At 34.6% G+C, this 16,648-nt stretch overlaps 1 protein-coding gene across 16 annotated transcripts in view; it reads left to right on the top strand.

The window, feature by feature from the left end:
* The window catches only part of CNOT4 (CCR4-NOT transcription complex subunit 4), a 148,308-nt gene that overhangs the window by 102,824 nt on the left and 28,836 nt on the right, over positions 1 to 16,648 (top strand). For all 16 annotated transcript variants that reach the window (NM_001393373.1, NM_001393371.1, NM_001393375.1 and 13 more), the window contains 3 exons: positions 9,053 to 9,110; positions 11,396 to 11,645; positions 12,864 to 13,361. In NM_001393373.1, coding sequence (NP_001380302.1) covers positions 9,053 to 9,110; positions 11,396 to 11,645; positions 12,864 to 13,361 — 806 coding nt within the window. The remainder of the gene's footprint in view (positions 1 to 9,052; positions 9,111 to 11,395; positions 11,646 to 12,863; positions 13,362 to 16,648) is intronic.

The raw sequence follows: 16,648 nt of genomic DNA, 5'->3' as shown, positions 1-16,648 counted from the left end.
ATAAAGAAATACTTGAGACTGGATAATTTATAAAGAAGAGAGATTCATTTGGCTCACAGTTCTGCAGGCTGTACAAGCATGGTGCTGACATCACTTGGCTTCTGGGCAAAGCGGGAGGCAGGCACATCATATACAGCGATAGCAAGAGGGAGGGGGTTGGAGGGGGAAGGTACCACACACTTTTAAATGACCAGATCTCCTGTGAACTCAGAGCAAGAGCTTACTCATCACCAAGGGGATGGCCCAAGCCATTCATGAGACGTCCACCCCCATGATTCAAATGCCTCCCACCAGGCCCCACCTTCAACACTGGGGATTATAATTCAACAGGAGATTTGGTGGGGACATACATTCAAACTATATTATTTACTTATTTTTGTAATCAGTTATTAATAGATTTGCTAACATTTTATTGACTTTGCCTTTATTATAAAGTATAGTCAGGTAGTCCATAGAGCACATTCATAACTGTTTTGGTAGCAGGAGAATGTCTAGGAGCCACAAGTTGTAAAGGGGGAAACAGGAGGAAAAGAGGAAATATAAAACAAGTAAACTCATTTACTAATTTTGCCCAAAGCCAGTGCTACAGAACCTCAGCTGGGACCAGAATAAAAAAAAATTTTTGAGAGTCTTGCTGTCACCTGGGCTGGAGCACAGTGGTGTAATCGTAGCTCACTGCAGCCTTGACCTCCCAGGCTCAAACGATCATCCCACCTCAGCCTTCTGAATAGCTGAAACTACAGGTGCACATCAACACACCCAGTTAATTTTTCTTTTTTTTTGTAGAGATGGCGTTTCACCATGTTGCCCAGGCTGGTCTCAAACTCCTGGGCTCAAGCGATTCGCCTGCCTTGGCCTCCCAAAGAGCTGGGATTATAGGTATGAGCCACTGTGCCTGGCCAGAGCAAATTTTGACATAGGTGTACATGCTTTGCATAAGTACATGATATAGAAACTTTTTTTGGGGGGGAGGGTGGGGGGTGGGGATGTTTTCTGTTTTAATGCGGTTACCTAAATTTATTAAGTGACAATTAATGGCCCAAGTTACAGAGAGTAAGCCTTTGGCTGACTGTCAGTCATAGCGAAAGGTCTGCTTTGGTTTCCACTTCCACATTGCCATCACCCAGGGTAGGCATACAGAGGCAGTAGGTAGTAGGGATGAATTTGTAGATAAGATTTCTCACAGGAAAGACTTGCCAAATTAGAGTGATGAGCAGTGTAACTCTTTCCAAGGTCATACCCAAGAGATAGGTTTCTTCATCTTCAAGGTAAGTTAAGACTTAAACTTTCTAGGAAAAAAAGAAACTCAAAGAAGGGTTTCATTTTCACATTTCTTGGCATTCCTAGATAGTGGGTAGCAGTTTTACAGAAAGAATTGCAAGAAAGCAAAGCCTGGAACCTTATAGATTGAGGCTCTAAGCTTAAAATGTGATTTTCTCTTATTTTCAATTAAGCCAGAGTACAAATCTTAAGATTACCATAGCTATTAATCCTCACTGAACCCTGACATGGTCCCCGATGCACATATATGTTAGTAAGTGAATTTTTCTATAATATATTTTACTCTTATTTCACCTAGTGAGCAGAAAATTCTAAAAAAGGAATTTGTCATCTGCTCCCCTTCATTATTATGAATTCGAGAGTATATCAGTCTTAATGAGTTTTGAACTATATATGTGCTATGAATAAGTTGCTTTGAAATGATGAATACAAGTAATGAGAGTGGGAAGTGATGAAGCCTTGCAGTAATGATGCTTAAGGACTGGCTATTTTATTATTTTTAAGTTTGGGGCTTTGAAATATCTTCATTTAGATTGAGATGCTATTTAAGTACCAACTGTGAAAGGAATAGTAACTAGGTAGGCTGCTGTGCCCAAGACAGTGAGCAGGCCTAGTTACAAGAATTGTGGGGTATGCAGATCACTCGGTGTAAATGGTTATGACTTGATATTGTGGCTGAAACAAGCCATCATTGAGGAAATGGAGATGTTCGGCTTTAGATTTAGGTGGAGCGAGGGTGGAATAAAAGTTTTGAGTCTTCTGTGTTCATTTAATATCCTCAGTAGGCCTGTGTGGTATATATTGTTTTCTTACTACGGGTAAAAAAACTTAAGTCTCAGAGAGTTTAAACAGTTTACCAGTATCCCACACAAATAAGCAGTAGATAAGATTCTGACCAAAGTCTCTGTGACTTTAAAGCCCAAGCTCATCCCTCATTCTCCCACTCTTCAGTCTAGAAGAGGTAAAATTCTTAAGAGCAGCTCTTAGGAAAAACTTTTTAAAACATAAATCAAATTTGCTTAAATGAAACTGTGCCATAACTATATGTAGTTTGATCTTGAAAATATCTGGTGCTTGAGGCTTGTTATCTGAAGACAGATGTAGTGGATGGATTGTAAATTCCAAGGAATTGATGTTATTTTTAGCAAACTTTCCCTGAGCCACAGATTGGTGGCAGTAATGGATTAGCTAGAGAAATGGTGAAAGGGAAACTTTTATAGGAATTTATCGATTTTTATTACATTTGAGAAGGAGTATACATCTTTTAAAATAAAAATACAGCTATATCCTTACTGAAAATCAAGTATAATCTCTGATAGACTGAAGGTATAGTCAGAGTACCTTATTAGTTCAGCAGAATGGGAATGGTCACTGCATGAATTCCATTCTCATAATTATTTGGTAAAACTCTTGAGATTTAGAAAAGACATAGTTCATAGATTTGTAGAAAAAGGTCTCAAGCAGAGATTGTTAGATTATGAATAGGCCTCAGGATATTTGTGAACACTGAAATTTTATGTAACATTTTGCATCTGTGCACATTCTTTTGAGAGAGAGAACTGACCTAAAAATAGTTATCAATTAAATATTGGTGTAGAGGGCACTGGTCTGCTGATACTTCTAGATAGATTAGAGGTGAATTCAGGAGTGGAATAAAGCAGTGATTCTCAAACTATGGTCAGGTGCCATGAGAAATGGACTAGTAAGTTAAGTGAGTGAGTTAAAGTTTGCTAAGATTTTATATTTACATTAAAATCAGCAGATTACTAGGTTTTTCTGAGTTTATATCTCAGAATCTTCCTTATTTCTCTTGAAAAGTTTTCTTCCTATGTCGTATTTGGCTACATACAGAGTTAGTGCACATGTGCATATGCAGTGAAAAACTAGTAAGTGAACTGGGATATCTTGGCCCACCTAAGTAGAATATGGTCAAAAAAGAAGTTAGAACCACTTGTCTAAAGTATTTGTTCCAGAGGGTGGGGTGGGATGAGTGTGGGGTTAAGGGGCAGTTAAAGATAGGGTTGTGTGTGCCCTTGTTTACTAGAATGAAAGCAAATAAGAAGTGTGTTTAGGTTTAACTTAAATATAAATCTTTTAAAAACATTAAGTGTATTACTGAAATACAGAATTTATGAATAAGTGGAGACTTGCTGTTTTTGAAGGTTACCACATTTTGTGATATGTTTAGGCTAGTAGATGTCCATATTTTGACTTTATTATTAAAAACTAATTCTTTGTACTTATTAATAGTTATCAAAACATTTATTTTCATTCATGTTAAGTAGGTCATGGGGTTATGAGAAAATTCTAATTAAAATCATATTTACACAACTACAATCGTTCTAGGTTTAATAAGGCACATTTTTCTTACCTTTTTATTTTATTTTTTTATTTTTTAATTTATTCTAAAGAGAGAGGATCTTGCTGTGTTGCCCAGGCTGTCCTCTAATTCCCGAGCTCAAGTGATCTTCCTGCCTCAGCCTCCTGAGCAACTAGGACTATAGGCACGTAGTGCTACACCCAGCTTCTTGTTCTGTTAATAGCTAATTATGCCACTTAGATGTGGCCATGTTTTAGTAGCAAAGTAATACTTTACATGTTAATGTATATTTGAAGCCTGTGTCAAAGTATATTCTGTAAAGGCAAGTTTTACCTGTTGATAACTTAAATATATCCTTTGTGTTAGCAAGTGTTTAAAAATATCTCAGAATTACTTAGGGACTCTGGTAAATGGCAAAATTAAGATAGATTCTTTGAAATGAATATATGTGGGAGTATTTAATTTAGAAGCAAAATGAATATGTATTTGTATATATGGTAACATGACAGTGAAATTTGGAAATGTCTGTTATGTTGACTTTTATCCTTATGTAAATTTTATGTTTAAAATGTAAGTAAATTTTATATTTTGTTTAAAATGTAAGTAAAAATCAGTAAGTCACTTTGACTATTTTTCTTTTGAATTTGGTAAGCAGAAAAACTAAACCTTCTAACTTTTTTTTAGTCCACCCCCATCCTTGAAAATGTTTTTTCTTTGATTCTTCTACTATGTAATTGGTTTATGTTGCAAATTTTTTTAAAGTAATCATGAGACTATATTTAGTGATTTGGTTGGCATCGCCATTAAGGAAGTAGTAAAAGAAAGTAAAATTCAAGCATTGCCTTTGGAGCAAGTTAGAAGAAATCAAAACTTGGCTGAACATCTACAAATCCAAACTGAGACCCAGCTGTGTCAGTGACTACCTGTTTGCAGACAGTTTTGAATTTGATTTCTTTATCTGTAAAACAAAGTAATTAAATTTGATTTTAGTGATTTCTTCTACTTGTGAAATCTAATAATTTGAGAGACTTTGAGGAGTCTTGATGCCTTTTCATTGTGTTCCTCTTCTCTTTGTTTCAGTGATCATCAAATACCAGATGCCTCAATTTAGACTAATTGAATAGAATTTTCATGATGGAGTCTGGATATATACTTTTTACTTTAAATAAATAAATATGTATATATTTTGTGCATATATGTATTTTAAAAAGCTCTGTTGCCCTTTTGGGTTAATTTACAAATATTTCCTCCTAAGAAATATGTAATCTCAGCCAGGTGCCGTGGCTCACGCCTGAATCCCAGCATTTTGGGAGGCCAAGCCTGGCAGATCACTTGAGGCCAGGAGGTTAAGACCATCCTGGCCAACATGGCGAAACCCCACCTCTACTAAAAATACAAAAATTAGCCAGGCATGGTGGCATACATCCGTAATCTCAGCTATTCGGGAGGCTGAGGCACAAGAATCACTTGCATCTGGGATGTGGAGGTTGCAGTGAGCCAAGATAGTGCTACTGCACTCCAGCCTGGGCAACAGAGCAAGACTCTGTCTCAAAAAAAAAAAAAAAGATATAGTCTTACCATGGATTTTTAAAACAATTTAGGACTGAAACTTTAAAAAAAAGGAAAAAATTAGATCGTTTGTATGAAAATACATGTTTTTGAATTTTTATGTACAGGGATTTATACATACAGCATTGCCTTCTGGGAATATCTTGATTGTGTTAGGAGACCAGATTACCTATTAGTATTTCTTAGTCCCACTTGAATCCAGTACTTTTCAATGAACTGCATGGTATTTATGGACTTCAGCATCTTGATTTCTCTTTCTCTCAGATCATGACAGTTTCATTGTATGAGTGAAGTACAGGTGTAGTCAGTCTTCTCAACTCCTAGCCTTTTCAGAGATGGTTGTCAACCTCTGTTTTTGCCTCTCTCATTCTTTGTTTTAGTTCAGTTTATATTATCTGCTTTTCTTTGTTTCTATCCTTGAGGATAGAATTGGTATCTCCAATTTTTCAAACACCTTTCTAGCTTTTTCCCTCACTAGGCAACTTCTGCCCCACTGCTTTTTGCTGTACAAATGGTTTTTTTAAAAAAAATCTCTCCCATTGAAAATGGAATGAACAACAAAACTTTAGCTTCAAAATGCAAGTAATTTTGTTTAGTGCAGTAGAAAGAGGTTGATTTAAGAAAACCTGTAGGTTTTTTGTTTGTTTTTAAATAAAAAAAGCCCTGTGCAATTTATCTTAGTGCATCCAAATTCTTATATCTGATAACATTGGGACCTGGCAATTTTTGACCAGGGAATAGTCCATGTCATGGAATACTCTCTTCATGAGTAAATCTGGTATTTATTAAAGTTTTTATTTTCTTAGCAGTTACCCTCTTGGCATATAATGGGTGGGTGGATGCTGAAAGTAAAAGAAATTTATTAATATTACCAGACCTTAAGCAGACTCAGTGCTTATCCTTCATGAGGAAGGAAGTTCTACATCTGATGCCAGTGGAGTTGTGAGGACTCTGACCTGTTGGTCGTAGTCTCAAGATAACTCTTTTCTCTCCAGCCATTAGAGAAACAAGGAGTTCACATTTATTGGAATTTGTAAATATAGTTTTTCTTTCTATTGGGGTTACCCATGTATTTTCAGGGATTCTCCTATCTTTTATTCTTTTCCACTGATAGTTCCAATTATTAATATAATATCAGGTGTAACTATAATTGACTTGTTATAGTCCACATAGGAAGTAAAATAATTTCTAGTTATATCTTTATTCTTTAAGCTTTTCATTTATTATTCCTTTAATTTGTTATTGTTAAAATAAATTGAGAAGAATATAGTAAAACTGAGTAGAACATACATTTACTGGTCTCTTGCCATAATCCTGATTTTTCAGCAGCTATTATCGGATAGATAACACAATCTACAAATTTTAAAACATCTTTGATAAAACCTTCCCAGGTAAAGCATAAAGTATTATGAATCAGTGCTTAGGAAATTGCAGTTGGATGGTGGACAAAGTGATATAAGTTATTCTAATTAGTTGTAATCCAGAAACATCCTTAAGATTTGTTTTTTATGTAATATTTTCATATGTTGCCCTGGCCATTAGCAAGACCTCATTTATATTGAAAATTATTATTTAGTGCTCTTATGGAAGCACTAAATTGGGTGGTGACTGGGAAGATGAACCAAGATCCAGACACTAGAAATCGTCCTTTGTAATATCTTTCTTTTAGCCTTTTGTTTCTGTTACCACCTCTTTCTCTCAGCTTGAAGCCCTTATTACCATAGTATTAAGTATAGTGCAAGTTTATCTCGGATTATCGCTATTATGTTCCGCCACCAAATTAATCTTTCTAAAACACTGCTTATTTAGGTCATTTCTGTGGCCTATGGAGCCTAACCTGTGTTTACCTTTCTGTCCTTACCTTCCATTATTATTCCAGCTATCCCATTTGTTAGCTAAACTAAATACTTAGCTCTGCCAACACTGTCTCCGACATTTTGACCCTTGACACAGGAGGTATTCCTACCTTTAATGCTGTTCTTTCCCCTTTCCCCCTTTCTTCTCCTGCTGAGTAAATCTTTTTAAGGACCTACTTAAATTTGAACTCCCCTAGGAAACTTTCCCTAATTGCCCCACTTGTAGTAGCTTTGCTTTCTTCTTAAGATTTATGGCATTGTTTTTGTTTGTTTGTTTAAACAATTCATTTGATAGCAAGCACTGGCTGATGTTTGTTTGTACTTACCTTATTTGTGCACTTATCTTCTTTCCCCCAAATACTTCTAAACTTAGTGGGCTCAGGTCTATATCTTTAAACTGTTTGCATTACCCATATTACTTAATATTCATTGATTTATTGCTATTTTATGAATAATAAGTAAAAATGCTCTTCAAGTAAATTTCAAATCTGTTTGCTTATAATCAAGAACATCTGGCAATGTCTGCAGAAGATGCACCTGGGATTCAGATTGGGTACTAACCCTTGTTAGATATTTTTTTTAGAGCAATTAAATATGGTATCAGTAAGTTATCTGTTTGAAAGGGGACTTTGTGTATATTTTCAGGGAATAAAATAATTTTAAGAAATTTGGAATCTTAATTTTTTTCCTATAACACAGTATCAGAACAATACATTTGAGTAACGATAGTCATGTACCACATATCAATGTTTTGTTTTGGTCAACAATGGCTGGACCACATATACAATGGTGGTTCTATATAATTAGAAATAACTTTTTTACTGTACCTTTTCTATTTTTAGATATATTTAGATACACAAATGCTTACCCTTATGTTACATTGCCTACAGTATTCAAAACAGTAACATGCTGTACAGGTTTGCAGCGTAGGAGCACTAGGCACTATATAGCCTCAGTGTGTAGTAAACCATGCCATCTAGGTTTATGTGAGTGCACACTTTAATGTTTCCACAATGACAAAATCACCTATCAATGCATGTCTCAAAATGTATCCCATCATTAAGCAACCCATGACTATTTTTGTTCATGTGCTGAGTTAAATAAAGTTAGTTATAGGAATGATATCAGTACACTGTTGCAGTGCTTATAGAGATTTTATTTTGTCTTTAAGTCAGTCAAGATAAAATGGATTTGAAGTCAGTGATTTACTTTACCATGGTACTACATTTTCTCTATGTGAAAATAAAATGTTAATGTTTTTGTTTGAATCAGTAGTTTGCCCAAAAATGTTTCTTTTGTCTCATTTCTCATGCCTTCTCTAGGGTTATGATTAGTATATAGAAATATTAAAAGAAATATATTGCTCTTAAAAACCTATGGAGAATATTTCAATAACTTTTATGCCCTCTGTCAAACACCCAGAAAAATGTCAGTATTATTTCAAAAACTGAAATGGGGAATATGTTTATCACATGCACAAAAATAAATGGTAGGTTAGACTTTTGATCTATTAATTGTAAGCAGTGCCTTTTTTCCCCCTATAAGCTATTATTTTACCCATTATTTTTGGAGAATCTAATTACAATGTAAGTTCCTTAAGGGTAGAGATTTTATACAGGTTGAGTATCCCTAGTTGAAAACTCTTGGGAACAGAAGTGTTTTGGATTTCAGATTTTTTTTTCTTTTGGATTTTGGGATACTTGCATTATACTTATTGGGCGAACACCCCAAATCTGAGAATCTGAACTCTGAAATGCTCTAGTGACCAATTTTCTTTGAGTGTCATGTCAGCGTGCAATAAGTTTCAAATTTTGAAGCAGTTCAGATATTGGATTTTCTGATTTGGGATGCTCAACCTGTACTTCTTTGTGTCCTCAACATTTAATCAATGTTTTACTTCCCAGTACCTCAATAAACATTTGTTAAGATGGTAAAGTGTCTGTTTTTTTTTTCTTTTGAGGAGTTTGTTTTTATTGTAGGAGAATGACTATATTCTGATTTTATTCAATTTGTTTTCTTTTTATAGCCCCATTGACAAACCTTCAGATTCTCTCAGTATAGGGAACGGTGATAATTCCCAGCAGGTAAGATTTGAATACAGTATCACTTGATTTATTTGCCATACTCCGAAAGCAAGGTATTCCATGCAGGTGAATTTTCTAAAAATACTTTACTGACACAATTTAAAAACACTTTTGATGCTCATCTTTATTAATCATATTATAATTAGCCTTTTCCCCCCAGAATATATAGAGCATAGTTTAACCCTTTTTTAATGACTCAGAATTATCATTATGACCAGATACTATTATCTTTAGAGTCTGCTAATGTTATTGGTCTTTTTGACCCTGTGCCAAATGGTCCCAGGCTAGCATGCCTTCTGAGTTCCTTGCTTTTAAGAATTGTATTCCTACCACATACTCCCCTTGCCCCTTGCTCTCTACTTTAATTTTCTATTTCAGTCAAGTGTATTTGTCCCTAACAGTTTCCCTTCTTATTTTCCCCAAATGACTATCAGCTTTGAAATGATAAGCCAGATAAACTGTTCAAAGTTGAATTTACTATGAAACTGAGTGGAGTGCTGACCGTTAGAGCATGCTTTATGTCATCTTGTCTTATTGCTCAGGGAACTTTTTTTTTTTTTTGGCTAGTTTTTCACTCCTTGAGTTTCTATACATCTTCTTACATTGGTAAAATAAATGTAATTTAGTATCTCCCGTAAAGAATAGCCAGTCCTCCACAGTATTTATGAAAAACTTAGAGATCTAAAATATAATGCTTTTCTAAACGTTTTAATGACACATTTTGTAAAAGAATGTGGAAATCTGTATATCCCCTTGTGTATTTTAGTTGCCCATTAACATTTTTTACAGGTTAAAAGTAGTTGCAAAGGATGTAATTTCCAGCATATTAGAAATATTGGTATCTGAAAAATTTAATGTTTTGATATCCCATCATAATGTTTTGATCATAATTCTGTTTTATTATCCTGTCATCCATTTAAAAAAATACACATGCTCTCCTTTAACAATCAGAAGTTTTACATTATTTTTTTCTCTGTGAACTAATTTTTCTCTTTCTGTTATTATAGAGTTTTATCTTAATGCAATATAGTTTTTGCTTGAAAAGCATATACTTCTCTTAAAAATAGGCATATAAATTTTTGGATTGAAATAATGTTTTTGCGGTCACAGACTTCAAATGCCAATTTTTGTCTTCTGAATTTTATTAGTAGTATTGAGGTGACACTATACATAAATGTAGATTTTAATTTTAAAAACCATGAAACAAATAGTAATAAATGGTAAAATTATAGTAAAATAAATAGTAAAATTATATTGAAAATTCATCTCTTAATGAAGAATAGGGCCATTTTAAAATTGGTTTGTATGTATCTCTAGATTAATGTTACCTATTGGTAAAAGAGCCAAGTTTCAGCAGCAATCTAGTCGTGTTTTTTATTTTTCTAAGATGTAAGTGTTGAGATAAGATACTTTGTTCATATAAATAGGTAGATGGAAGGAGGAGTATTATATCAGTACCACTCAAGTCTTTCAATTTCTTCTGAATTAAATACCTAAGAATCATACAAAGATTTATTATACAAAATTATTTTTAATGATGTGTTTGGAAACAACTTAATTAGATCTTTCTTTAATAATCTAGCCATTACAGTCAGTTTCTCTCTTATCACCAATCCATGTATTTCTAATAATTTGTGTTTGGCCTCTGGAAAGTTTTCACTCTTGAGCAAAATACTGTAGTAAAATCCCAGAATGAGAAATATTATTTTCTTGGTAAAGTGAGAGAAGTAAAGTTGTAAAAAGAGAGGAGATGGCCGGGCACGGTGGCTCATGCCTGTAATTCCAGCACTTTGGGAGGCCGAGGCGGGTGGATCACGAGGTCAGGAGATCGAGACCATCCTGGATAATGCGGTGAAACCCCGTCTCTACTAAAAATACAAAAAATTAGCCGGGCGTGGTGGCACGCGCCTGTAGTCCCAGCTACTTGGGAGGCTGAGGCAGGAGAATTGCTTGAACCCCGGAGGCCGAGGTTGCAGTGAGCCGAGATCAAGCCACTGCACTCCAGCCTGGGCAACAGAGTGAGACTCCATCTCAAAAAAAAAAAAAAAAAAAAAAAAAAAAGGGAGACTAGTTTAATCTTTTCAAGCAGATTAATATTTTTTTAAAGAGTATATATGTAAGTTAATGATTTAATTGATTTTCTGAAACTTCATGCTTTCATTAAAACATCTTCAAGTACCAGTTTGTGAAACACTATTCTAATACATTTAGTTGCAAACTTTTTAATTGTGGCTTATTAAAATGTATAAACATGTAGTTATTATTTGTTTTCCTTTTTTATTCAGATATCTAACAGTGATACGCCTTCACCACCACCTGGTTTGTCAAAATCCAATCCAGTCATCCCCATCAGTTCATCCAATCACAGTGCACGGTCCCCTTTTGAAGGGGCAGTAACAGAGTCACAGTCGTTATTCTCAGACAATTTTCGCCATCCCAACCCTATCCCAAGTGGGCTTCCTCCTTTCCCCAGCTCCCCACAGACATCCAGTGACTGGCCTACAGCACCAGAACCACAGAGCCTCTTCACATCAGGTATATAACAATAGTACCAAGTATTAGTAATTATGCTCTTAACGTATTGTTGACAGACTAACATGAAACTCATTAGTGGATATATTTTTATCTTTTGCCTCTCTGTTCTCTTTTAATAAAAATGCAAATATTTAAACTACATGGAATTAGGTGGTTAAATACATTGTTGTGTGACCTAGAAATTACTGTGTTAAAAGATTTCTCCAGAAGTAAAGGGTTATATTGTTTTCCCAATAGTAAAAAGCTTATTCCATTGGGAATTTTTTTTTTCATTTTTACTTTTTGGAGGTGGGGGTCTTGGTCTCTCGCCCAGGCTGGAGTGCAAGTAGTGTGATCTTAGCTCACTGCAGCCTCACACCCTGGGTTCAAGTGATCCTCCCACCTCAGCCTCCTGGTTAATTTTTAAATTTTTTGTAGAGACAGGGTCTTGCTATACTGCCCAGGTCTTGAACTCCTGGCCTCAAGTGATCCTCCCACCCAAGCCTTCCAAAGTGCTGGGATTACAGGCATGAAGCACTGCACCTGGCAAGGACTTAGATTTTTAATTAGATTTGTATTTTTATTTAATTAGATTTGTGTTTAAGATTTTCCACCCCCAGCTGACAAAGATGCAAGTTATTTAGTAGTAACAGTTATGTTACTACTAAATGGTATTTTTGAGCCATTTCCATTTTTATCCATTCTAAATTCTCTCATTACTATGAAAGGTGGCATAAAAGTAACATTGACAACAGCACCTGTGGAGCAGAAAATTCCAAAAAACTATGAGGATTAATATAAATACTTTTTAATTAAATTATATTTTTCTTAGTATAGAAAGCATGTATTCAAAATTATTTGTACTTTGATAAATACATTTAAAAATCAACTTTACTAATTAAAATCTGTTATATTTATTTGATGGAAGTGACTTAGGTTGGTTTTGATTATGAATGGTTGAGAGTATAATTGGAGTGTCAAGTACATTTTTTTCCTTTGATTAGCAAAATCAGTCTATATCATTCAGTTTTTGAAGCTAGTAGCTTAAGAGTTAAGTAACTGCTAGAAGTACATAAGGCCTTTTGTAATTATATGATCTTAATGTGCTAAGAAGTCACATAGATTTTGCACTTACTTAATTTGTAAAATGACATGTTTAACTTTCAGTAGCATGGATACTTATTAAGTATGAAAATGAGCTATGTATCTGATATTCATCACTATTTTTCTTCCCAACAGAAACAATCCCAGTATCATCCTCTACAGACTGGCAAGCAGCTTTTGGCTTTGGTTCTTCTAAACAACCAGAGGATGACTTGGGTTTTGATCCCTTCGATGTCACTCGAAAAGCCTTAGCAGACCTGATTGAGAAGGAACTGTCCGTTCAAGACCAACCTTCCCTTTCGCCCACATCTCTTCAGAACTCCTCTTCACACACTACAACCGCCAAAGGTCCAGGCTCTGGATTCCTGCATCCTGCTGCAGCTACAAATGCCAATTCTCTCAATAGTACCTTTTCAGTCTTGCCCCAGAGGTTCCCTCAATTTCAGCAGCACCGAGCGGTTTATAATTCATTCAGTTTTCCAGGCCAGGCAGCCCGCTATCCTTGGATGGCCTTTCCACGCAATAGCATCATGCACTTGAACCACACAGCAAACCCCACCTCAAATAGTAATTTCTTGGACTTGAATCTCCCGCCACAGCACAACACAGGTCTGGGAGGGATCCCTGTAGCAGGTAGGTTCATTTAAAACCTTTGAGAATTTTTGAATAACTCATATTTTCAGGTTGTTGGGTGGATAGGGAAGTAACTGTTGAATAACAGAGTACTAATATCTTGGAAATGTCTATGAAAGATTAGTCTTTATCATAATCTAAAATATATTTTTCATTAGATGGATGCCTTGTAATATTGAGCTTTATAAGGATGGTGGAGTATTATACTTAGTTATTGTTTGGAAGCATTTTACTTAATAGGATAATTACCAAACTTTCATATGGTATACAAATGCAAAATGAAAAAGAAGAAAATGGTCTCTGAAGTTATGGTACTATAAAGTCCAACACCGTGGTGAAAATTATGATTTTATATTCTAAAGTAAAATGGTTAAAAAAAATTTTTTTAATGATAATTAATGAGAGCATGAGGGATAAAGCCACTCTCTACCTACTTTTGGCAGTTACTTGTTTTGACTGATACACATATACACACACATCAAAACTGAGCTATAAATATACTTGAGAACTCTGATTATGAATGTTTTACAAGCATATCATATGTCTCAGACATACACCTTTTGTGAAAGAGAAATTGTTCAAGGAAAGATACTTTCCCATTTGATCTGCCATGTTTTTATTTCTGGGGAAAAATATGAAGTATATATAAGGTAATGTAAGTTTGATGCCAAAATACTTCTGGTTTTGTACTGCTACCCTTGAAGGTTTCAGAACTTTTGGGTTTTAAGATTCTATATAACATTTTTTAGATGAAGTATCTTCTATATCCAAGGGAATTATTCTTGTTAATAGTGTTCTCGTTTAACTTTGGCTTTAGAGATGATGTTAAAAAAAGTTTGTTCCTCTCCTGATTCTCTCAAGTGAAATAGAATCATGATTCTCTCAAGTAGAATACAATAGTTTCTCACTCTGTTAGAATAGTTCTTCACATAATTCATACAATTTATTGTTATCCCTTGTTAGATATGGCATGGCACAGTATTATTGTAATAGGATACTTTTATCAGCAGCAAGGCAGAAGTTCACGCTCTTGTTTTTAGCAAGGCTGATAGATGAATTTACAGAGGTCTATCAAAGTTCTTTATCCCTGTTCCCTTTGGGACCGACAATATTTCATGTTTTAGACGAGTAGCTAGGTTAAGAGAATATAGTTTGTGGCTGTTGACATAGTGAAATTTACCGTTGATACAGTGAAGTTAATTTACATAAGCCTGGTAGCACGTAATGTAGTTATTTGCACAGTGTTGGGACTCTTATTTGTTCATTTAATTATGGTAGTTAGTAGGTAACCAGAGTGACATTTTTCAGTCCTCTTCTTCTACATGATACTTACTTGTGAAACAATGTGTTCAGTTCCAAATACTCCTTTTATTTCCTTCCATTCAAGATAGCATATTAGAATGTAATTTTCTTTGATTTTACTTTGCTTTAATCATTGAGAAATGTGGCATTTTAATTACTAGTAGTGTATCTCATAATTGATTATAACATTCATTAAAAGTTAAAGTTAAGTTCTCCCAAATCATCAAAACATTTAAAGATTAGACCAATTACAGTGAATATGAGGGTTTCTATTTGCCCATCAATGAATTAGGACATGTGGGACATATTAAAGAAGTTTAAGATATGGATAAAATTTCCACATACTTAAAGTATAGTTGAAGAGACTAAAATAATGTGTGAAAGTGGTAACTATATGTCTGATACTGGAATCTGAGAGACATCAATGTACCCTGTAATTCTTGGGGAGGCTTCATTGAATAAGTAGGAATTGATCCCTACTATCATATCTTAGATTTGGGTTAGCAGCAGGGGAAGAGAAAAGGCCTTTTATGTTGATGGAAACCTCCTGAGTAAAGGCATAGAGGCAGGAATTAGTATGTCATTACACTGAGAAGTAATACAGCTACCTCCTATAACAGGAGGTGCTTCTTAAATTGTATAGATATAATGGATGAGAAGATGAGAAACTCTGACAATGAGGCAAAATGGCATGGACTTGGTATGATAGGAAGTAGGATGCCTTTATGGGATTCTAGTTATTAGCTGTCTTCTTTTTGTGCTTTTATTTGACTTATTACATGACGATCTTTGATTTTCTTCCAATTTCATAGTCATCATATTATCCCTTAACACTGAAGAGTAGTTTTAACCCATATATTTCAAACCAATAGTTATTCTCAGAATGCTGCACTGGTAATGAGAAATCGCTGATTAGTGAGTTTAGTTGTCCTTGTGTTAGTCATTTAAAATCTTCGTCTAAAGTAGATGCTTTATGGAAAAAATGTGACATTAAATTATGGTCCTATCTTTGGGGATTTTGTTTTAATTTTTAAAACTTTTACCATATACTCAACCATAGAGCATTAAAACCTTTTTTTTTCAGAGATGCTAAAAATGTAGTCACCAACTTTAGGTTCTGAATCGTTGTACTATTTGGTAGGGGGTGGGAGAGTTTATTTTGGATTTTCAATTTCAGGCTATGCAGACTTGCTTGGTATTTAAATGGTGACTTATGGTTAAGCTTATTATTAGGTTATTTTTAAGGCTCTGATGACTAGAGAAATTTTAGTTTTAATGTACCAAAATTTAAAAATTTTTATCAAGAGTCTCACACACCAGAATCCTCTCATGGATTATAAATATTTGGTAGATGCCCCAGAAAACTGAATGTGCTAAGCCTCAGAGCAGAATAGCTGTGTAATTGTAGCCAGAAGATTTAGGATTTTCAGTAACTATTAGAAATGACAGAAAGTGAAAATCTGGAAAACTATATATACATCTTAACTATGTCTAATTTGAAGCAATTTAATACCTAGGTAACTCACTTGCACCTGTTGTAACTCACTTGCACCTGTTCTAACTCACTTGCACCTGAGTTGAACTATTGGCAAGGATTCAACTTTGTATCTTTTAGCAGTTATCATGATACCTTACACAGGGCAGCTGTCACTAAATGCTTCAGTAATGGAGAGAGTACATACCTGTTTCAGTGGGACCTGCTACTTTAAGATATACTTAGACAATATTTTAAACTAATTCTACACTCTGGAAAGGCATATATATTTATTCTCTAAATATGTAGAGCAAAATATGGTCTCTGACCTGTAAGAGCAAATCAGAGATGGCAGTCACCTACATGTCATACAGATAGAATGTCTACTTACTATACATTTGTACTTAAATTTTTATTTTTGGTTTGTTCAGTGAATTATTAAAGATTGATATATCTGAAACCTATCATGGGAAAAACAGTTGCCAGAGGTTTGACAGAAATGCAGCTTCCT

This window comes from Homo sapiens, chromosome 7 (assembly GCF_000001405.40).
Source record: "Homo sapiens chromosome 7, GRCh38.p14 Primary Assembly".
In the NCBI taxonomy this organism is placed as follows: domain Eukaryota; kingdom Metazoa; phylum Chordata; class Mammalia; order Primates; family Hominidae; genus Homo; species Homo sapiens.
Note: the sequence above shows the minus strand (reverse complement) of the source record. Positions and strands in the feature narration are given on the sequence as shown.